The sequence below is a fragment of the Homo sapiens genome, chromosome 22 (genome assembly GCF_000001405.40).
Source record: "Homo sapiens chromosome 22, GRCh38.p14 Primary Assembly".
Taxonomy (NCBI): Eukaryota; Metazoa; Chordata; class Mammalia; order Primates; family Hominidae; genus Homo; species Homo sapiens.
Window position 1 is genome coordinate 19,039,421 of NC_000022.11, and position 22,468 is coordinate 19,061,888.

At 50.6% G+C, this 22,468-nt stretch overlaps 1 protein-coding gene, 1 long non-coding RNA gene and 1 pseudogene across 6 annotated transcripts in view; 1 reads left to right on the top strand and 2 right to left on the bottom strand.

The window, feature by feature from the left end:
* DGCR2 (DiGeorge syndrome critical region gene 2) overlaps positions 1-22,468 on the bottom strand; it is an 86,127-nt gene that overhangs the window by 3,135 nt on the left and 60,524 nt on the right. For all 5 annotated transcript variants that reach the window (NR_033674.2, NM_001173534.2, NM_001173533.2 and 2 more), the window contains 4 exons: positions 17,566-17,742; positions 9,020-9,223; positions 2,387-2,539; positions 1,638-1,874 (listed from right to left, as the gene is read on the bottom strand). Coding sequence is in view for 4 of the 5 variants with exons in the window: in NM_001173534.2 (NP_001167005.1) it covers positions 1,638-1,874; positions 2,387-2,539; positions 9,020-9,223; positions 17,566-17,742 (771 nt within the window). In the remaining variant the exon portion in view is untranslated. The remainder of the gene's footprint in view (positions 1-1,637; positions 1,875-2,386; positions 2,540-9,019; positions 9,224-17,565; positions 17,743-22,468) is intronic.
* DGCR11 (DiGeorge syndrome critical region gene 11) lies at positions 6,742-8,955 on the bottom strand. Its single transcript, NR_024157.1, has one exon. It is a non-coding gene; the product is annotated as a DiGeorge syndrome critical region gene 11 (long non-coding RNA).
* RPL28P6 (ribosomal protein L28 pseudogene 6) lies at positions 16,421-16,767 on the top strand (annotated as a pseudogene).

Sequence of the window (22,468 nt, forward strand, 5' to 3'; positions counted from 1 at the left end):
ACACTGACCAGCAGTCACTAGAACAGAGGGGCCCAAAGGGAAACCGTCTCAGACTCAGTAAGGTGAAGACCCGGCTCAGCAAGAAGGCAGGGGCATTTGTCATCAGGGAGGCACTGGGCCCAGGTGGGTGGAAGAACATTCAGGGCTGCAGCTGGAATGTGGCAACCGGAGTGTGGGCAACAGGGCTGCAGTGAGCGGCCTGGAAAACCACACAGGTGTTTGCAGGAAGCTCTGATCCAAGGCAGGCTGTGTGGTAGGCAGTCGACTCGCTTTGTTTTGCCCGATCTTTATTACTTGCTTTTTTTTTCTTTTAAGAGACAGGATCTTAAAAGATTGCACACTGGTGTGCAGTGACGTGACCATGGCTCATGACAGCCTTGAATTCTGGGCTCAGGTGATCCTCCATTCTCAGCCTGCCCAGTAACTGGGACTACAGCTGTGCCCACTATGCACGGCTAGTTCTGAATTTTTTGTGGAGAAGGAGGTCTCACAGGCTGGTCTCGAACCAACCTGGGCAACATAGTGAGACCCCTCCTCCCGCCTCAGCCTCCCAGAGTGCTGGATTACAGGTGTGAGCCACTGCGCCTGGGCTGCCTGCTTGTCATTACCATAGGCTGTCTCTGAAAGCTAACAGCACAAGGCCCCGGTGATGCACCTCCCTCCCGGCCAGCCCCTCACAGCCCCCACCCTGCTCTGCAGCCTGGCCCACACAGGTGTCTGGGATCTGCTGCCACCCACCACCATCCCTTGCAGGAAGCTGGTCCTACCCTGGAAGACTGTGACAATCTGTGTCATGAGGGCAGGGGTCAAATGCAAGTCTTTTCTGCACCCCCAGATCATGCAAGAGCTGTGGCAGCTGACTAAACAAACGAACAGGACTGAGACCTTTAGGCACAGCAGCCCCAGCCTCACAATGCCCATTCTGCCGAGATGGGCAGGCATGCAAGGAGCCAGCCACTTTGGGGTGGCACTGCCTACCAAATATACTACAGGTTTGTGTGTGTTAGGGGGCCTAATGCACAGGGAGATGGGATGGGACACCTGCACTGCTCAACAGAGACAGAGACAGGCCAGGGGTCAGGGGCCTGCCACTCCTTAGCTACACAGCCTTGAGGAATGGCGCCCACTCTCAGATGGGTGGTAGGCTCCAACTATGGGCCAGTAGCACAGAAGCCACGCTTTCCTCCCACCTCACAGAGCTGCCTCCTGACACGACAGGAGGGGCTGTCACCATGGTGTCTCTAGCTCATGTGTCTACAGACAAGTGATTGGCTCCTGGGTCTGGGCCAGCCCTGTCTTCACAACCACCACTGTCGGGCTCCCCAGGTCTCTAGAGCTGGGCTGAGGGCCCTGAGGGCTGCCCAGATGACAGGTGCTCACAGAAGGCAGGGAGGTAGGAGGGAGGGGTCCCAGGCCTTCTCAGAGCTCTCTGCACAGATTGCCAAGGGCGGCCAGGCAGGGAGATCAGGACCCCTTCTGCACGGGCAGCCCCAGGAGAAGCCTTAAAGGAAAAACCAAAGACAAAGCCGGAAAGAAGTGAGGTCCCTAGGCCTCTGCAGCTGGGCAAGAGTGCTGGGCTCAGCCCCACGTGCCAGGTTACTTGACAAGGTGTTCCCTCTCCCTGGGGAGTCAGGCACCTGCAGGGTCATAGAACACACTGTCCGGGTGGATGGAGGCCTCGTAGGGCGGCGGAGGGTCGTCGGGCTGGCCGATGTCCGGGTACTTGTATGCCGTGTAGGGAGGTGGAGGGTCGTGGAAATGGAAAGTCCCACCCTCTCCGTCGTCAGAAAGATGCAGCGGCGTGAGGCCCGTGCCAAACCCGTCTGGGCCGTAATCAAAGCCAGGGATCCTGCGGCCGAGGTTGAAGTGGTGCACTGGGCCATCAAAAGTGTGCAACGGGAACAGAGACAAGTCACTGGGGGCAGGCTGCCTGGCTCCTGAGCCCCCCACCCCCAGGCTGGGCCTGCCGTCCCTGAGTGCACACACCTGTGCCCCGCTGCCTACCCCTCGGCCACATTCGGCATCCCCATGAGACCCCTGGTGTGCTCCGTGGCATGTCTCACCCTCACCACACCAACCTGTCCCTCTGGGCTGACACTTCTGTCAGACCCAGCCTCTGGCTGACCACACCCCTCCAGCTGGAAGGGTGATCCGGGCCTCTGACCCTCAGAGGCCTCCGAGTTCTGCCCACCCTGTGGCTCAATGGGAATAAGGAGGGTCTTGGCAAGAACTTTCCTGGCCCACAGGTGAGGACACAGACCCCACAACATGTGGCCTTCAAACCTGCCTCTGCCCCTCTCTGTCCAGGGCTGGGGAGCTCATGGAGACATGGGGTGACCTGGGGTGGGGATGGGGACCAGGGTTGTGGCCCTCAGAGGGCACTTACAGTTTGCTCCAATCAGGGACTCGATGCGCTCCCGGCGCCGCTGGCGCAGCCGGTGGACCATGAAGAGCAGCAGTGACAGGATGAGGAAGGAGGAGATGCAGCTGACGACCAGGCGCATCCCGCTGGCCATGGAGTCAAACAGACTGTTGCCATCTGAGGGGGAGGGGAGGAAATGGCCGCTCTGAGAAGGGGGCCACCCTCGTGCTACGCTGGGGATGCTGTCGTCCTCCTGCCCAGGCGGGCTGTGTGGACAAGGCACACAGTGTCTCCCTGCACCCAACCATCTTTAGGATACATGTGAAATAAGGCCGCTCAAAATCAAGAACATGGTGACAGCACAGAAGCAGAAGAGCGAATCCCAGGTCAGGAGGAGCATCTCACCATGGCCCCAGGCTGCTGTGTGCCAACACCCCTCTGACCATCACCGGAGCAAACTAGGATTTCCTGTCCTAGGACTAGCACTCCTAGGAGGCTGCGCTCATGTGCTGTGTACCCCAGGTGTGGCTGGGGAGCGGCCCTCCTGCAGAGGTGCACATCCTTTTCCAGGGGCCAGGGCTGCACACAGGCCTCCCACGTCCGTCCAACAGCAGCCTTCCTTTTGTCTGAGGCCTGGGCTCTTGGGAGGAAGGTGCTCAGTTGCCCAGCAAGAATGAGCCAGGGGGCGGTGAGGGACAGCCCTTTCCTGGTAGGAGGCCAGGGTTGGCCAGGTAGGCAGGGGTCTCATGGATGACAGTTGCTGGCAGTTTGGAGTGGGGGTGACGCCCCTGCGGAGCATGGCTCGGGCGGCTGCCGTAGGGAGGACAGGCTGCAAGGGAGTAGCATAGGGCATCAGGAAGCCAGGAGGAGGACCTGCCGCAGCAGAGAAGGGAATGACAGAGGCCTGGACCGGGTAGTGACAGACTGGGAGAAGTGACAGTATAAGGTACACTTGGGACTCGGATTGCCACAACTCCCTGATGGACTGTGTAGGGGAACAGTGAGCCCCTGTGGGCAGCCGCACGGTCAACTCAGGTATCATTTCACAAATGTGCCTCTGCTGTGGTTGGGCGTGAAGCCTGTCACTCCAATCCTTAACAAGCCATGGCAGAGAAAATGCGCATCCCCTGACGCACCCAGCCCTGGCATACACGTGCAGATGACACCTGGACACAACACTGGGTCTCACAGGCTCCCCACTGAGATGCTCTCCCGGCTCAGCCACACCCACACATTGGGTACACACGCACCAAGCGCAGGTGTAGGAGGGCTGGGTGGACCCGACTCCACCTCTTTGCTGGGTGAGTAGGCAGGAGGGGCCATGAAGCTTGAAGCTGAGTCCCAGCCAGGCTAGACGCCAAGGAGCACTGAGTCTAAGCTGCTGCGCCTTCCTCTGCTCTTCTTCAACCATTTCACGCTTTTCGTGACCACCACTTGGCTGGGATGCTACTAGTATTCAGCAGGTGGAGGCCGGGGTGCTGTTCAACATCCTCCAGGACAGCCCCCAACACACAGTATCTGGTCCAAATGTCAACACCGCCAAGAGGGACACACCCTGCCCTGGTGCAGTGCACACTGGGGACAGGGGCTCGATATGAGCTGCCCATGGGGAGGCAGAGATGACATGAGTGGTAGCAGGCATGAAAGGAGAATCTACCAGCCACACATCTATAACATGGCTGGCAGTTCCATGCACTCCTGACTTGGGTAAACTGGCAACTCACAGAAGTCACAGAATAATGGAACCAGGAAGTGGTCCCAGAAGTAGCTTCCTCCACAGACCAAGAGTGAAGGCCAGGGAGGCTTCAAAACGAGGAGTGACCCATCAGCTCCTGGAAGCAGGAGGACCCCACACCAGCAGGGACCCTGCTAAGCTAGGAATGGCCACTCCCACCTCTGCAACAATCTCGGCAGGCAGGACCCCTACTGCCTGCCCCAAGGAGACACTTCACAACCCCCGTGTGAGTGGCTGGGTTCCCAGAGCCCTCAAGCCATTCCTGCTAGCCCAGTACACTCCATGCCCACACAGATGGCAGCGCCAGCTCCTGTCCTCCTCCCACGGGGCCAGGAAGCATCTCCAAAAGCTGCATTTTTTGCTGACGACACATGAAGTGAATATGTGAGAAGGATACATCCTCTCACCAATTAGCTGCTTTTCCTGATGCCTCTGACCCTCCTCCAGTCTCAAGGGCACTGTCATCAGTGGGAGAAAGCCTAGTGGCCCAGGGACTGGTGACGTGCCTGTTCATTGGAGGCCAGTTCAGAGATCCCAGGGGAGCTCCTAAGAAAGCAGCCCCTTTGCAATGACTAACTCTTAATCCGTTCTAAAATAAACCCAAGGACACGGTCAAGGTCCCAACTGTCCCTCCAAGGTGGGGACCGGAAATAATCATCTCTCAGAACCAAGCCACTTGTAGTCAAGCACAAAGAAGAGAGCCTGCCCCAGAAGCCAGAGGCCAGCCCAGGGGCCCCAGAGGCCCCTTGATAGGGCTGATCTCTCCATGGAGTTCTGGGCTGTGCAGTTGGGGTTGTCTTTTGTCTCTCAGCTATCCTGCAGCTCCCAGAGAGAGGATCCAGCCTGTGCAAGAAGAGCTCCAGTGACAAGGAGCTCACCATTTCATTGAGCTTGGTTAAGTGGTAACAGTTTCAAAATCTCCATCAGAGACACCATGGGGAGCAGAAGGTCAGCAGGGATCAGAAGCTGAGACCAGGAACCCAATGTGGGCTCTGTGCCTGGCAGCTGCACCAGCCAAACACCTCACCATGCCTCTGGGAACCTCATCGTATCAGGGCTGCCCGACAGCAGCAGAGCAAGCAGGGGCAGAGGGCGGCATGAGTTTCAGCTGCTCTGCACCTTGGCCAGCACTTGATGCTATCAGTTTCATTACTTTAGCCTTTCGAGCAGGGGTGGTACCCCACGTGGATTTAGTTTGTTTCCCTAATGGCCAATACTGAGCATCGTTTCAGCTGCCTGACTGTCATCCTATATCTTCTTTGATAAAGTTTAATAATTTACATCTTCTTCTAAAGCCATTTTTCAATAGCATTGTTTTGTTTTCTTATTATTGAGTTTTTATGTATTCTGAATACAGACCTTTGATCTGTGTTTTGCAAATACTTGTTTTGATTCAGTCAGGGGCTTATTTTTTCATTTCCTTAACAGTGTGTTCCAAAGAACAGAAGTTTTCAATTTTGATGAAGCCAAATTTGTCTGTTTTTTTTAAGGATCATGCTAAAAATGTTGCCTAACCCATGGTCACAAAGATTTCTCTCCTATGTTTTCTCCTAGAAGCTTTATAATTCAAGGTTTTACAGTTGTGTCTATGACCATTTTGAGTAAATTTTACATACAGTAGGAGGGACAGTGTAAGGTTCGTATTTTTTGGCATATGGATGTCCTGCTGTCCCAGCACCAGTGGTTGAAAGACTATCCTTTCTCCACTGAACTGCTCTTGCACCTTTGTCAAAGATTAGGCTGGTCTGAAGGTAGTGAGTCATCTCGATTGATTGTTCACAGTCAGTAACAGATCAAACTCCTTGTTGTACTCTTTTCCCGTTCTCACGACTGCACTTGACTCGTCTTAAACAAACAAAAACAGAGAGATCACCTGATTATACGTAGTGTGGGACTATTTCTGGACTGTTGTGTTCCACTGATCTATGTGTCTGCCCCTTCATCGATACCACACTGTTGTGATTACTATGGCTGTACAGTAACTCATACATTAGGTGGCATGGATCCTCCAACTTTGTTCTTTGTAAAAACTACTTTGGCTATTTTAATTATTTTGCCTTTCCACCAACTTTTATCTACCTTTTTATTTAAGAGACAGGGTCTTGCTATGTTAGCCAGGTTGGTCTTGAACTCCTGGCCTCAAGCAATCCTCTTGCCTCAGACTCCCAAAGTACTACAATTACAGGCATGAGCCGCTGAACCCAGCCCTATTTTATTTTTACTTTTTGAGATGGAGTCTCGCTCTGTCACCCAGGCTGGAGTACAGTGGCGTGATCTCAGCTCACTGTAACCTTTACCTCCCAGGTTGAAGTGATTCTCCTGCCTCAGCCTCCTGAGTAGCTGGTATTATAGGCATAAGCCACCATACCCAACTAATTTTTTGTATTTTTTGTAGAGATGGGGCTTCACCATGTTGGCCATACTGGTCACAAACTCCTGATCTCAAGTGATCCACCCTCCCCAGCCTCCCAAAGTGCTGGGATTACAGGTGCGAGACACCATGCCTCGCTCCACCTGATTTTTAGAATTAGCTTGTCAATACCTACAAAAATGTCTGCTAGAATTTTGGTTGGGATTATACTGAATCTATAATTTGGGAAGAGCTAACCTCCTAATGATATTGAGACACCTGATCCATGAACATGGTATCTTTCCTTTTATTTAAGCCTTTTTGTCATCATGGTTTTACAGTTTGCAGCAAACAGAATGTGCACATATTTTATATTATTTATAATTGGGTATTTCATTTTTTTTGGTGCTATTATTAATGGCACTTTTCTCAAAATTTTCAATTTTCAACTGTTACAGATAGATTATATAAATATGATGAATTTTTGTTACGTTGACCTTATATCTGGAGACCTTGCTTAAACACACTTATTAGTTCTAATAACTTTCCTGTAGATTCCCTAGGATTTTCTATGCAATCATGTGATCTGCAAAGGGAGATGGTTTCATTTCTTCCCCTCTGGCCTGGATGGTTTTTCATTTCTTCTTGCCTTCTGGCACTGGCTTTGACCTCAAGCACAATGATGACAGGGTGGCAAGAGTAGACACTCTTAGCTTGTTGGAGGGGACATTCTGATGCTTAACACATGACATCCTATTCCCAGAGTCTCCAGTTTTGGTGATAGTGTCTCGGTTCTTGAGCACTTTCCAGAAGAAGGCCCTAGGAGAGTCAGGAGCCCATGGAAGCATGGCCACAGGGCAGGCAGAGCAGGGCCCAGCTAAGTCGCTCTGGCCGTGCAGGAGAGAGGGCTGCAGCTGCTCTGGGCCCACCCAGATGCACTAAGGGCCCTGCTCTGCTAAGAAGTCCTTGGGGCTGGGCAGGCTCTTTAGGCCATACATGCCCACAAATGGGTCATCCTTGTACACATCTGGGCATTCTTACAAAGCTTGGACAGAGTGGCAAGGCAGCACTGGTAGACTCCTGAGAAATGGAACCAGGAGTCCAGGTAGCATGGCTTGTGAACAGAGTTTGACTCTTGTAGCCAGTCACTAAGCTGGGGGTTTAAAGTTATGTGGCCGGGCACAGGGAACTTGATAAGCACTCAACCAGTGCTTCTCATGGCCCTAAACAGACATGCACCCTATACGAGGAGAAACTGCCCTGCAGAATGGGGTCCAAGCATCACCCTCTAGCTCTGGGTCCTCTGGTGGGCTTGGCTGCAAATGTAGCCTTGTGCTCACCACAGTCAACTGCACATGTCTGATGGTACATGCCACAGTGCCCACTTTCACCCAGCCTCAGGCACAGCCTCTGGAGGACAGCTTTGTCCTCCCACCCAGCAGCCCCCCAGTGTGGAGGGACACTGACAACATTCCACTCAGGGGCAGCTTTCACTGTTGTGGCCCAGCCTCTAGCTGCAGCCTCTCCTCCACAGGGCCCCTAGAGACAGAGATGGCCATCACACCCTGCCCAAGCTGCTCTTCTACAGGGGCCACAAGTCCAGGGGCTTCCAAAAGTCCCCATCATTTCATTCCTACTGTGGCACCCAAGAAAGAAAGAAACTCATACTTTTGATTTACATTTCTCTTGAGATCTGAATTCACACAGAGCTGCAGCTACACCGGTGTGCAGAATGACAAAGCATGCCCGTGGAGTGTGAGGGGTGTTAACATCTCAGAGAGCAGTGGCCCACCTGCTCCTCTCTTTTTGCAAGTGGAAGGGAGAGGATCACCCTGAGATCAGATTCCCTGTAGTGTCTACCTTAAAGCCCCCGCCTGGTGGTGAGGAGTCTGATCTCGAAACTGAGAATAATACTTCATCTTTTTCTCGAAGATTCTAAGGTAAAAATGGATGACTGTAAGCAATGACAACTGTCACTACCCTCCATATCATCATACTAGAGAACAGGAAGAGCTCCAATGTGGACATAAATTAGAAGTCTAGGCTGGACGCGGTGGCTCATGCCTGTAATCCCAGCACTTTGGGAAGCTGAGGTGGGTGGATCACTCGAGGCCAGGAGTTGAAGACCTGGTCTGGACAACATGGCGAAACCCCGTCTCTACTAAAAATACAAAAACTAGCCAGGCATGGTGGCATGCGCCTGTAGTTCCAGCTACTGGTGAGGCTGAGGCAGGAGAACGGCTTAAACCCTGGAGGCGTAAGTTTGAAGACAAGTTTGAAGCTGTCAGTGGTGACTTGTGAACAAACAGCCACACTTGAGTTCAAGTTCATTTGTGAATGCTGCCTGTCACCCCAGAATGGGAAGGAGGCAGCTGGAGGGGTCGTGTCAGACACGCCCACTAGAGTAGTGGCATCAAAGTCTCTGAGACATCTCTGTGACAAACGCTGCCATTGCTGCTGCGCGATGCTCCATAAACTCTCCTGAGTCCTCACCACTGAGGAAGCAAAGGGACGCCCAGCCTCCAGCCCCAAATAGGGAGGCTGACTTGGGACGTCCTATCAAGAGTCTCACCTGGGTCCAGACACATGAACTTGCAGCACTCTTTGGGGTCCTTGCGGTACTGTTGGCAGCCCTGGGGCCTCTCACAGAGAGCAGCCACACACATCTCAGGCTCCCCTCCATGGCAGGTGCAGCTCAGGCATGGGTCGTCCCCCTTAGGGGTGAAGTAGAACCCTTCATCCACCACGTTGTCCTTGATGTCAACACATGTTTGACCTGCAATGAGCATACATTGTGTACAGATGTATACAATGCCAAAAAAGGTAGCCTCCCCGTGTGGGCCACACTGCCAAAAAAGGTAGCCTCCCCGTGTGGGCCTGTGAATGCTACCTGTTACCTTAGAATGGGAAGGAGGCAGCTGGAGGGGGCATGTGAGACATGCCCACTAGAGTAATGGCATCAAAGCCTCTAAGACAGCTCTGTGAGCAAACACTGCCATCACTGCTGCACCACTTGACATGAGCTGACCTTCCCCACCTGGGCCTGGGGAACGAACAAGGCAACTGAAGACTTGGCCAGATTGTGCTGAGAGTCTTCCCAGGGCTGGAATGCCATGGATCTCTGGCCCATGGCACAGGGAGTGGCTGTCCAAGAGCAGTCACTACAACACTGTTAGAACAAAGTACATCTAGCCAGGGCAAATGGAGGCCGGAGAGCCAGGATGGAGCACAATGCCAGACTCCAGGGTCACTGCAGAAGTGTTTGCCTGGAAGTTGCTGAAGTAGATTACTTATGAGATTTTCTCAATTCTAAGATGCAGCTGCTATGAGTATTAACCATTTCAAAATCAGAATGTGTGTAAGGAAGCTGCCAGTTCTGCTTGGGAAGGCAGTCCACTGGACCTGAGGCACACTCTGCACAGAGCTGACCTAGGATGAGAGTAAGAGGAATGGCCATGGCTAAAAACCCAGAGTCTTCAACTGGTAGGCAGACGTTGCAAATGCCTGGAGGAGAGACAAGGAATGAAGGAGCCTCCAAGAGAGCCACCCTCAGTGAAAGGCAAAGAGACATGAGAAGGTAGCTTCTTACAGTCTCCAAATGGGGTAAGGATGTCTAGAAAAAAGACTCTTCCGAAATTTCACAATCACAGGTCTATGCCTCACTTAAGATTGTAGTCAGCTGGGCGCGGTGGCTCACACCTGTAATCCCAGCACTTTGGGAGGCCGAGGCAGGCAGATTGCCTGAGGTCAGGAGTTCAAGACCAGCCTGGCCAACATGGCAAAACCCTGTCTCCACTAAAAATACAAAAATTAGCCAAGCGTGGTGGCATGTGCCTGTAATCCCAGCTACTCAGGAGGCTGAGGCATGAGAATCTCTTGAACCCCAGAGGTGTAGGTTGCAGTGAGCAGAGATTGTGCCACTGCACTCCAGCCTGGGCGACAGCATGAGACTCTGTCTCAAAAAAAAAAAAAAAAAAAGATTGGGATCAAATCTAGGTCACCCATGTGGTCAGGAACTCCCAGGGCAAGATACTCACATACAATTATTCCCTGGCTAAAATAGAGAAAAAAGAATGAACAGAAATGAACAGAGCTCCCAGAGAAATGTGAAACACCATTAAGTACACCAACATATGTGAAACAGGAGTAACAAATGGAGAGGAGAGAGAGAAAGAGGCAAAAAAAAATTAGTCGAAGAACTAACAGCTGCAAACTACTCAAATTCATTGAAAAACAATAACCTATACATCCAGGAAGCTCAACAAATTCCACATTCCTAGGATAAATGCAAAGGAGCCACAAACTGACACATCAGAGTGAAAATGCTGAAAGTGAAAGACAAGGCGAAAATACGAAAAGCAGCAAATGGGACGTGACTTGTTACTTCTAAGGGAACCCCAATAAGACAAACAACTGACTTCTCAGCAGAAACAACAGAGGCTGGGGCAGTGGGATAACTGCTCACAGAAAACCATCAACCAAGATCCATATCCAGCAAAGATATCTTCTGAAAAATGAAAGTAAAATAAACTTTCCCAGACAAACAACAAGTGAGAGAAGTTGTTTGCAGATCCACCTTATAAGAAACACTAAAGGAAGTTTTTCAGGCCAAAAGTATGCAATCCCCAGATAGTAATTTGAATACAAATAAGAAACTGAAGAGCAACAGTAAAGGCAATCGTGATTATAAATTATAGCCTACATGCATAGTTTTCCTCCTTTATTCTCTTAGCTGATTTAAAAAGCAATTGTATAAAATAATATGTATGGAATGTAGTATTGGGTCTATGACATACAAAAATATAACACACTTAGATTTGCCAAGAATGGCACAAAGGTGGTGTGTGGGAGCAAAGCTATACTGGACTAAAGAACTTCACCTAAGTCTCACATCTTATTAAAACACTCATTCGAAACATGTCCTAGACTTAAATGTAAAACGGAAAATGATTAAAATTTTAGGAAAAAAACACAGAAGAAATGTAAGGCTAGGCAAAGAGTACTTGGACTTGACACCAAAAGAATAATCCATAAAAGGAAGCTGGTTTCAGTGGCTCGCACCTGTAATCCCAGCACTTTGTGAGGCCGAGGTAGGTGGATCACCTGAGGTCAGGAGTTTGAGACCAGCCTGGCCAACACTGTGAAACCCTGTCTCTACTAAAAATAGAAAAATTAGCCAGGCGTGGTGGCTCATGTTGGTAATCCCAGCTACTTGGGAAGGTGAGGCACAAGAATCACTTGAACCCAGGAGGTGGAGGTTGCAGTGAGCCAAGATTGCACCACTTCACTCCAGCCTGGGCAACAGAGTGAAATTCTGTCACAAAAAAAAAAAAAAAAAAAAAAAAATCCACGAAAGGAGAGAGAAATAACTAGGACTTCATTAAAATTAAGAACTTTTGTTCTTTGGGTAAACTTATACTGCCAGGAAAAAACAGCAACAACAAAACTTTTGTTCCTGAAAGCTCACCTGAAGAGGATGAAGGCAAGCTACAGACTAGAAAAAATATTTGCAAACCACATATCTGACAAAGGACTGGTATCTAGAATACATAAAGAACTCTCAAAACTCCACAGTTTAAAAAAGAACAAAACAGATCATTAGTTCACACCTGTAATCTCAATACAGGAGGATCACTTGAGCCTAGGAGTTGCGTTTGAAGCCAGCCTAGGCAACATAGTGAGATCCTATCTCTATAGAAAATAAAAAACTTAGCCAGGCATGACGGTGCACACCTACAGTTCCAGCTACTCAGGAGACTGAAGTGGGAGGACTGCCTGAGCCCGGGAGCTGGAGGTTACAGTGAACTATGATTGCACCACTGCGTTTGAGCCTGGGTGACAGAGCAAGACCCTTTCTCAAAACAAAACGAACAAACGATGCAAAGAGAAAACGGAAGAATAATGTGAACAACAGAGAATATACAGATGGCAAATAAGCACATGAAACATGAAGAGGTTTTAACATCAGTAGCCTCAGGGAAATGCAAATTGAAACCATAAGGAGCCACAGGTCTACATACATATCTGCATACCTAACAGAAGGGCTAAGATGAAAAATAGTGAAAACAGTAAGCGCTGGGGAGGATATGGAGAAATTAAATCACTCCTACGTTGAATCACTCCTACGTTGATAGTGGGACTATAAAATAGTACAGCCACTCTGGAAAACAATTTGCTTGTTTCTTTAAAAACTAAACCTGCAACTACGATACAATCAAGCAACTGTAATCCTGGGCATCTATCACACAGAAGTGAAAACACATTTGCAGCCAGGCGTGGTGGCTCATGCCTGTAATCCCAGCACTTTGGGAGGCCGATGCAGGTGGATCATCTGAGACTGGGAGTTCAAGACCAGCCTGGTCAACATGGTGAAACCCATCTCTACTAAAAAGACAAAAATTAGCTGGGCGTAGTGGCACATGCCTGTAATCCCAGCTACTCGGGAGGCTGAGACATGCGAATCGCTTGAACCCAAGAGGCGGAAGCTGCAGTGAGCCAAGACTGTGCCACTGCACTCCAGCCTGGGCAACAGAGAAAGACTCTGTCTCACACACACACACACACACACACACAAAAGAAAAAAAGAAAAAAGAAAACACGTTTGCACAAAAACCTGTATGCGGATGTTCACGGCAGTTTTCATTGTAATAGCCAAAGACTGGAAACAGCCCAGATGTCCTTCAACACTTGAGGCCTATAGTTTGAGACCAGCTTGGGCAACATAGCGAAATCCCGCCTCTACAAAAAAAAAAAAAATACAAAAATAAGTTGGGCACAGTGGCATGCACCTGTGGTCCCAGTTACTCGGGAGGCTGAGGTGGGAGGTTCACCTGAGCCTGGGAGGTTGAGGCTGCAGTGAGCAGTGATCACACCACTGTACTCTAGGGTGACAGAGACCTTGTCGCCAAAAAGAAAAAAAAAAGGAACAAATCATTAATAAAAGTAACAATTTGGATGACTCTCCAGGGAATTATGAGTGAAAAAAGCCAACCCCAAAAGGTTGCAACTATATGATTCCATTTATAGAACATTTCTGCCTCATGATGATACCTGACAAAGGCCAGACCACATATGACCAAAGGCCTCTGACCTACCACTTCTGTAGCAACCAGTCTAGGGCAGTCAGGATCTGGCCAGTGGCCACCAGCTTCTCTATTTTGAGTCCATACTTCCAACTGGAAACCCACCAGGGAAAGTCAAATATGTTCCCCAAACCAATCACCTCCACTGCCCTGCTTCTAGTCAGGCTGCCTCTAATCAGAGCATACCTGGAGCCTTTAGGGCCCTGGTGAAAAGCCACTGTGCTGGACCCAACTCCAGCTGCAGGAGGGTCAGAAGCACTTGTGAAGGCTCCACCCTGGATCCTCAGGGCACTGGGCCTGCTTAAGGCTCAGATACAGTTAGAACATCAGACCCTACTATCAGCATGCTAACAAGCCTTGAGTCACACAGTGGACTACTGCTAGGCGGGCTGCAAAAGACAGACTCTAGAGATGTAGCCCAAAGGGATGACCTCAAGTAGAGGGTGGAGCAGACATTAAGAAAAACCCTCTGGCAAACCAGCCTCCACCCAGAACAACAATGCTGCTAAATACGAAAGCCTGAGGTGCACTGAGGGCAACTACAGTGCCAACAAACCCCAAGCCCAGCCCAACTCTCGCCCAGATCAACGCCCTGCACTGTACTAAAGACCTCCCCACAAGAAAGGCCTAGTGGAAGTAAAGGCATAGCCACTGCAAGCACAAAACTACTGAACTCAGTCTCTATTGTCCCACACAAGATGTCAGAGTTCCAATGAAAAGCCTAGAAAAAAGTACCATGCTCCAGAGACAAAACAATCAAAAAACCAGACTCAAATATGACACAGATGAAGGAACTTCCCCACAGGGAATTTAAAATAACTACGATTAATTTGTTAAAGGCTCCAGTGGAAAAGCTGGACAATATACAAGGTTAGATGGGAAATTCAGATGAGAGATGGAATCTATAAGAATCAAATGGAAATCCTATAAATAAAAAAACAGACAAAATCAATGAAACAGATGAAGAATACCTTCAATGGGCTCATAAGCAGACTTGACATAGCCAAGGAAAGAATTAGTAAACCTGAGGACAGGTCAACAGAAATTACTCAAACTGAAGGACTAAAAGAATCCAAGAGACATGATGACTAGATGCAATGCATGATTCTGGACAATGAAAAAAATAGCTATAAAGGATATTATTGGAACGACTGATAAAACTGGAATAATGGATTGTGGATTACTGTATGGTACTGTATCCATGCTAAGTGTTCTGATTTTGATCCATATAGTGTGGGTACATAAGAAAGTGTCCTTGTTCTTAGGAAATACACACTGAAGTATAAAACGCTTAATTAAGGTCCACAGTATCTTCAGTTTACTCCCAAATGATTCAGAAGAAACATGTAGAGAAAGTGAATGATAAAGCAAATGCAGTAAAACTGAAATACTGTAACTGGTGAGTCTGTGTAAATGGTGTATGAAAGGAAGTTCCTTGTATTATTCTGCCTTTTCCATAAGCTTGAAATTATACCTAAATTAACAAGTTACAGAAGTCTCCCTCGCCTGACCCAGATGGTCCTATAAGGTGGTTCTATCAAACACTCAAAGACAAGTTTATCTCCAACTTGGACAAATGGATTTAGAGAACAGTAAAATAAAATGTTTGCCAACTCATTTTAGAAAACTAATATAGTATAATACAGAAATGAGTCAATGTAGTCCCAGCTACTTGGGAGGCTGAGGCAGGAGGCTCACTTGAGCCTAGGAGTTCAAGACTGTACTGTGCTATGATCGTGCCTGTGATTAGCCACTGCATTCTTGCCTGGGCAACACAGTGATGCCCCACCTTAAAAAAAAAAAAAAGAGAGAGTCAAGGAGAGTATAGAAAAAAATGTAACAGGCCAACCTCACTTCTTAAAAGAGTTTCAGGCCAGGCACGGTGGCTCACACCTATAATCCCAGCACTTTGGGAGGCTGAGGCAGGTGGATCACTTGAGGTCAGGAGTTCAAGACCAGCGTTCAAGACCAGCCTGACCAACATGGTGAAACGCCATCTCTACTAAAAATACAAAAATTAGCCAGGCGTGGTGGCACATGTCTGTAATCCCAGCTACTCAGGAGGCTGAGACAAGAGAACTGCCTGAACCCGGGAGGCAGAGGTTACAGTGAGCTGAAATCACGTCACTGCACTCCAGCCTGGGTGACGGGGCAAGACTCTGTCTCAAAAAACAACAAAGAGTTTCAAAAATTCTAAATATCAGCAAACCAAATCCACCAATATAATATATTATATATATATAAACCATGAGGATGGTTTAACATAAGAAAATCCATTTATATGAAATAATGACTGAACAGACTGAAGAAAAACTACATAACCCCAATAAAATCCACTAAAAGCATTTAATAAAAATCAGTACACTTTTGTAACACAAATATTCCCAGCAACCTAGGAATAGGTACTTCTTTGACTTCATACAGGTACATTCTAAAATCCTATAGAAGGCATTCTGTAGAATATTGATACATTAAAATAGCATTCTAAGTTGAGAAGACAAGAATGCTCACTACCACCATTTCTAATCATCACTGTCCTGGAGACTGTAGCAAGAAGAGTTGACTGGGCAACATAGTGAAACCACATCTCTAATAAATGTAAATAAATAAATAAATGTCAAAGATTTGAAAGAAGAAACAAACCCATCTAAATAGAAAATCAACAAAATCCACAAACTAAGAGAACCAATAAAGGAGTTTAGAAAACATATCCTAAAATTCACATAGAAAAGGGTCAAAAATAGGCAACATAACAGGCAAGAACAAGGCAGAGGAAGTCGTAACACCAGCAGTCAAGATTTATCATGAAGCTCTCTCTGTTGCCAGCCACCTGGGAGGAGCTGCCGCCCCGGCCGCACATCTGCAATGGATGGTCGCGAGGAATCATCCGGCCTGATCAAGGGGAATAAGCAGACCCACAGCACTGAGCCTGAGAACTTAAAGGCTGCAGCTCCTTCCACTACAACGAGCTGATTCACTGCAGGACTGTGGGTGTGGACCCGGCAGCTGATGGCAAAGGTGTGGTGGTGGTCATGGAGTGGAGATCCGGCCAGCAGAAGCCAGCCACCTCCTATGAGGGGACCACCGTCGGGTGGACACGGTGGCTCACACCTGTAATCCCACCACTTTGGGAGGGCGAGGTGGGCGGATCACGAGGTCAGGAGATCGACACCATCCTAACACTGTGAAACCCGCCTCTACTAAAAACACAAAAAATTAGCCGGGCGTGGTGGCAGGCACCTGTAGTCCCAGCTACTCAGGAAGCTGAGGCAGGAGAATCGCTTCAACCTGGGAGGCGGAGCTTGCAGTGAGCCGAGATCACGCCACTGCACTCCAGCCTGGGCAACAGAGCGAGACTCTGTCCCAAAAAAAAAAAGAAAAAGAGGACCACCGTCAACAAGAACGCCTGCACCATGCTCGGCAACATCACACACATGATCCGCAAGAACAAAGCCTCTCCCCAACCTGCGCACAGCTGCCATCCCAGAGCCAGCGCCATCCTGCGAAGCCAGAAGCCTGTGATGGTGAAGAGGAAGGGGACCTGCCCCACCAAGAGCTCCTGAGACCCCTGTCCCCCAAAAGCAATAGAGTTAGCTGGCTTTAATAAAAAAAAAAAAACACACACACCATAGACTGGCAAGGTAAACAGAGAAGCAGAGAAGCAGAGAGAAGGATGGCAGAAATGGGGGGTGGGGAGGTGACAAACAGCCTTAGATGCTCCAGAGATGCCAAGTCCTTGGGTCCTCATTCCCATTTACTCTCTTAACAACACTGCAACAGGGAGGACAGGGATGATTGTCTCTTCCGTGGGAAAAGAAGCTGGGCTCTAAGATGCTTCCGTGGGCTCTAAGATGCTGACCAGCTGCCCTGGTCACAGAGCTGCAAATGGGCCCCAAGAACAAGGTGTGAGCTGGTAAGGGGCGTCCACCGCAACACTGCAAATCAGGTTCTGCCTCCGAAACCTTGAACTCAGGGTCCAACAAAGTGACACAAGGGCCCAGACATTCCCCAAGAACGCCAGCTCAAGGGGGCTTACTTCTTTTACACAGAAATGAAGACTTCTCGTAGCAGCTCTCGGCGTGCCAGCTGTGGAGGTCGTGGTGCCGCAGGGTGGGGAAATGGAAGCACTGAAGCTGGGCACAGAACACGTTGTCGTTCTCAGACATGGCCGAGGCAAAGATGGGGTCTGGGGGCAGGAACACCTCTGAAGAGCCTGTTGGGGAGACAAAAGGTGGGGCTGGACAACATCACATCAGAGGACAAGCTGTGCAGTCCTCAAGGGGACCATGGCGTCAGACAGGATCATCAACCACAGGGCCTGGACCGCCAAGTACTGGTGGTCACTGTGGCCAGGTGTTCACTCGGGACTCCCCAACCTCCTGGGAGTCACCCCAGGTGCTGGGCCTAGCGGGAGCCACTCCTTGGAGCCTGCAAGCACACAGGCCACAAACCCTGGGTAGCAGTAAGTGCCAGCCTGAGCACCAGAAGAGGGTGCTGGATCACGGTTAGTGGGTGGCATTTAAAGTTAGAGCAACAGCATAATAACAAAGTAATGGATTGTGGCACACTGGATTAAAATGCAAACAGGGGAATGGGCAAGGGAAACAGGCAGGGAAGCTCTCCCTTAGGACAGCACACTCAGATAAACAGAAGACTTACAAAGTCCACCCAACACCCAGGAGAAAGGCGCCGTCAGGCAGCATTGGCACTGGCCGGCACTGCCAGCAGCTGGCTGCAGGGAACACTTAGGAAGCACTGGCTCCCGGGGACCTCTCTCAGCTCAAGGGAAACTGTCACCCACTCAGCTCCTGCCTAAGCCAGGCACAAGGCAGTCAGAAACCGTGTACCCCTGCCGCAGAGAGCGTGAGGGTTGGGGACTGCTAACCTCCAAGCCTCTCTTTTGCAAGGTTCCAGGTGGGCTCTGGCCATGCCCAGGGCATGGCACAGCCAGCCCTAGGCCCCACTCTCTCCCCTGCACGGCCCTTCCAGTCTGGGCTGCCAAGATTCCTTGAGGCTTACCCGACCAGGATCAATGGAAACACAAAGCAACCTTTCCAAGAAGCAGAATAATGAAGGCACACCTGGTGCTCTCCCCCTCCTAAGACAGCAGCAGTGCAGCTCACCCCATTTATAAGCCTCCAGCATTCTCACCTGCGTCTTTTGGAGCTCTGTTTATACCCAGCACGAAACATGGGGCTCTGCCTCAAAAAAGCCAGTGAGTCTGGAGGCAGGCCTATGCTGTGGGCCTGTGGACACATGGTGCCCTGCCATGGGCAGGAGGACAGCTCTCAGGAAGCTCTGAGACCTGCAAGACCTGTGCCAGGCCAGCAGGCAGCCACAGCAACAGCTGTGCCCCCTTCCCAGGGACATACAGGCCCAGCATCTCGCCTGCCTCATCTGCATCTATCAGACCCACAGCAGAGCAGGAAAGGGGCCCACTGTCTGGAGTCACCTCCCCATACCACCTGGAGGGCTGGTCTCCACTGCTGACAGTGGGTGCCACCACCATCACGCTGTGCACCACCCCACCTTTCCTCCAGGCCCCCGAGCCCCTGCACACCCTCCTCATCTCCCACAGATGCCTTCTCACCTAAGTAGAGCCCCTCCCCTTTTAAACACTGTTTTCTTCACTATTTGCCTTCTTGTCCCGTGGCAAGAAAACCAAACAGGTTCCTTCCAATCTTTAACAAACAAAAAATCTTCAGCGCTGAAGCTAGTTGCCAGCTAAGAGCTCCTGCCCACAACTACAGTACATGACAGCAGACTGAGACCAAGGACACAAATGACCTCTCCGGGCAGAGTCCTGGGACCCAGCATTTGCCCACGAAAGCTGCCTGGACCGGGGCACAGCAAGTCAGAGTGAGTCAGGCAACCAGCAAAACAGGGTTCGTGTGGCACTCTAGGCCAGGGCCCAGAGAGCCACACAGTGCTCCCTCCTGGCAGCAAGCTGCATGGGCACCTGTGTAGCGCCCCTGCCCAGGGGAGCTGCTGGTGGCTCTGCATCCAGGTGCTGAATGGGGGCTGGTCATGCGGGCACTGCATGCCTACCCGAGGTGCAGCCTTGCAGAGCGGGCAGGTGTTCGTCTTTGGAGCATCCCTGGAAGAGGTCACAGTGGCAGCCATGAACAAGGCAGCCTGTGGGGCTGGAGAAGAGGCTGGGGAGTGGTAGGTGATGAGGGTAGTGAAGGAAGGGGCTGCTGGCCTTGATGGAACTGTGATTTCTATGAGAAACGAGAGCTGTGAACAAGGGAGCAGAGGTGAAAAGGACCCCCAGCAGCTGTGTGAGGAGCGGTGGGGCTGGGGCCAGGAGACCAGACAGAGGCCACGAGCACAATCGGGTGACGGATGATTGGGTGTTAGATCCCGGTGGGGGCTGCAAGACTGGTGCCAGGTGATGAGATCCTGGACATATTCCAAAGGTGTGAGAGGAGCCTGGAGGCTTCCCGATACTGCACTGGGGATGACTCCTGCAGATTTTCCTCCAGGGCCTCCCACTTCCTCCTGGACACCCCCTTACCTCAAACATCCCGCTCTTCCTGAAGGACCCTCATCCTAGAGAAAGGCCCTGTGAGCAGAGCTGCCCTGGCTACCAGAGTGACTGGGAGCAGTTCCTCGTGCAGAGCCCTCCTCTCAAGCCTCCCTCCAAGACACTACTCCTCACCCCCTGCCACCCCAGCAGATCCAGTCCTCACCTCGACAGGGTGGCGGCAAGTTTCCAGGTGCCCCTCCCATATGTCCACACATGAGGTGTGCGCAGGACTCTGACGGGAGCCTTGGGCTGGGCCGTCACCAGCCACCGGAGGACACCCTGCTCCCCAGACTGATACACGAGGGCATCTGAACCTGATTACCTCTGCCACCACATCCTCTCCCACATGTGCGAGCAGCCACTGCCACCTCCATGTCCACCGCTGCTCGCCGAGCCTGGAGAACCCTCCCCGGCCCCCGAGTCCCCCATTGTTCGAGTGGTGGGGAGACCTTCACTCACTTTTCTGAGCCCTCAAAGAACCTCCCCTTCCTGTCTCGCCACCTCCACAGCCACAGAATGAGCCTCCACTCGGGCCCACCAGGGGCTGTCCAGATGCTCCCGAATGCCCCACCACGGTGGCAGCTGCCCCACTCAGGGTCTGTCTCCCCTCCAAGAACTGTGGCCTGACCCCAGCTGACCCCATCCTAGACCAATGGTCAGCTCACCCAGAGGGCAGGGTCTCTACAATGCACCTTCCAGTGGCTGCTAGGCCAGCCTGGCCCCTCCCTCACTGCTGACTGAGGCTTCTAAACGCTAGGTCCCACAGGCTGGCCCAGGACCACAGCCCTGACTGCTGGCCTCAGCGGGCAACACCATACAATCCCTCAGGTACAGCACCAGAGAAAGAAGAAGACGGAGACCATAAAGGACTGGGCACAAGATTTTGGGGGAGAAAAGAAGGCTTCTACTAAGTCACACACCTCCTGACCTCAGCCAACCTGCAATGTGCGTGCTGAGACACCACGGGGGACAAATGAGGGCCAGGCACTGAGTAATCTTAAATGAGCAAGTGACACAACATGTGGACACATGAAACACACGCTGTTTTCACTTTTATATTTTAAGGTAAATATCAAGTATGACTCACCAGACAGAAGCTACACTGCTGGTGCTGACGGGAAGGCCCTGGGAGCAGCACGTGGGGCGGTGTGGATGATTCTCCCTACACAAGGATCTGTACTTTTTCAACCTTTCTGCACAAATGTTACAGAAATCCTGGCCTCATGTCTTCTGGCAGCAGCAGCGGCAGTTCTGTCTCCAGGGCACATCATGACCTGGTGCTGTCAAACCTGCAGGGTCTTGGCCCCCAGGCGGGGCTCACAGGCTGGTGTGGGCCTGGGGGAGCGCCTGGAGAGCGCTCCACCAAGGCGCACAGGAACCCTGCGGAAACGAGCTCCCAACTTCAAATGTGTGTGCAGGGTACCGACACATGGGCATAGTAAGCGTCTATGTACCATGGTATCACTCACACCCCAATCTGGAACATATTATACAACACAGAAAAGATGGACAACATGTAGATGAAAGAAACATTTTTCAACATCTTAATGTGAGGCCCTTCCACCATCATTAGCTGATATTCTCAGGTACAATATTTTCTTAGGGAAGGGTTCAGAATGAGTAACAAATGACTTACATCCATTTCCCATGGTTTTTTGGGTATTTTTGGGGGGGCCAACACCTCAGACCCCAATGACCCCTCTGCTTTGCACCATGTCCCCAGGCAGGAGAAAGGCTGGGGTGGGCTGGGCTGGGCTAGACGTGCTCTTGCTAGCTTGTTTTATACTCAGTACTGTCTTCACTCTGCAGCTTGCTTTTGGTACAGGAATTTTTAAAACGATTCCACTATGGAGAGAGGAGTGCGTGCACCCGAGCCACCTCGGTGCTGACCGCACCCTGCTGCTTGGCTCCTCTCTGCCCTACCACCCTGGGAGCCCCTCCCCTGCAGACTCCAGGATACTGGCTCCTAAAACCACACAACCACAGTCCTATTGCTGCACCTAAGAAAATGAATCTTCCACAAGTCCCCACTCATTTCTTGAATTGTCCTGTGGAAGATTTTATAAGCCTCCCAACCTAGGACACCATAAGGGTTCTTGTGCCACATTTGGTTTTATGTTTCTTTAATCTCTTTAAGCCCAGAACCACTCATGATGCTGAGCTGCATCAAGGGCCAGTTATCCTGCAGCAGAAGAATTATTGTTATTGTTACTATTTGTTTTGTGACCACTATTTAAATCCGCTAACAGAGTTCCCGAATCCATTTAACTGGGCACAAGCAGGCAGTGGCACATGGTCACCTCCGTGGAGCTCCGGGATGCTGTGGGGCCCCTTGCACGTTGAGCCACACAAATAGGGAGCTCTATGCCAGCTGCAGCTGCCAGCACCAACATACGTGTTCAATCTTTTT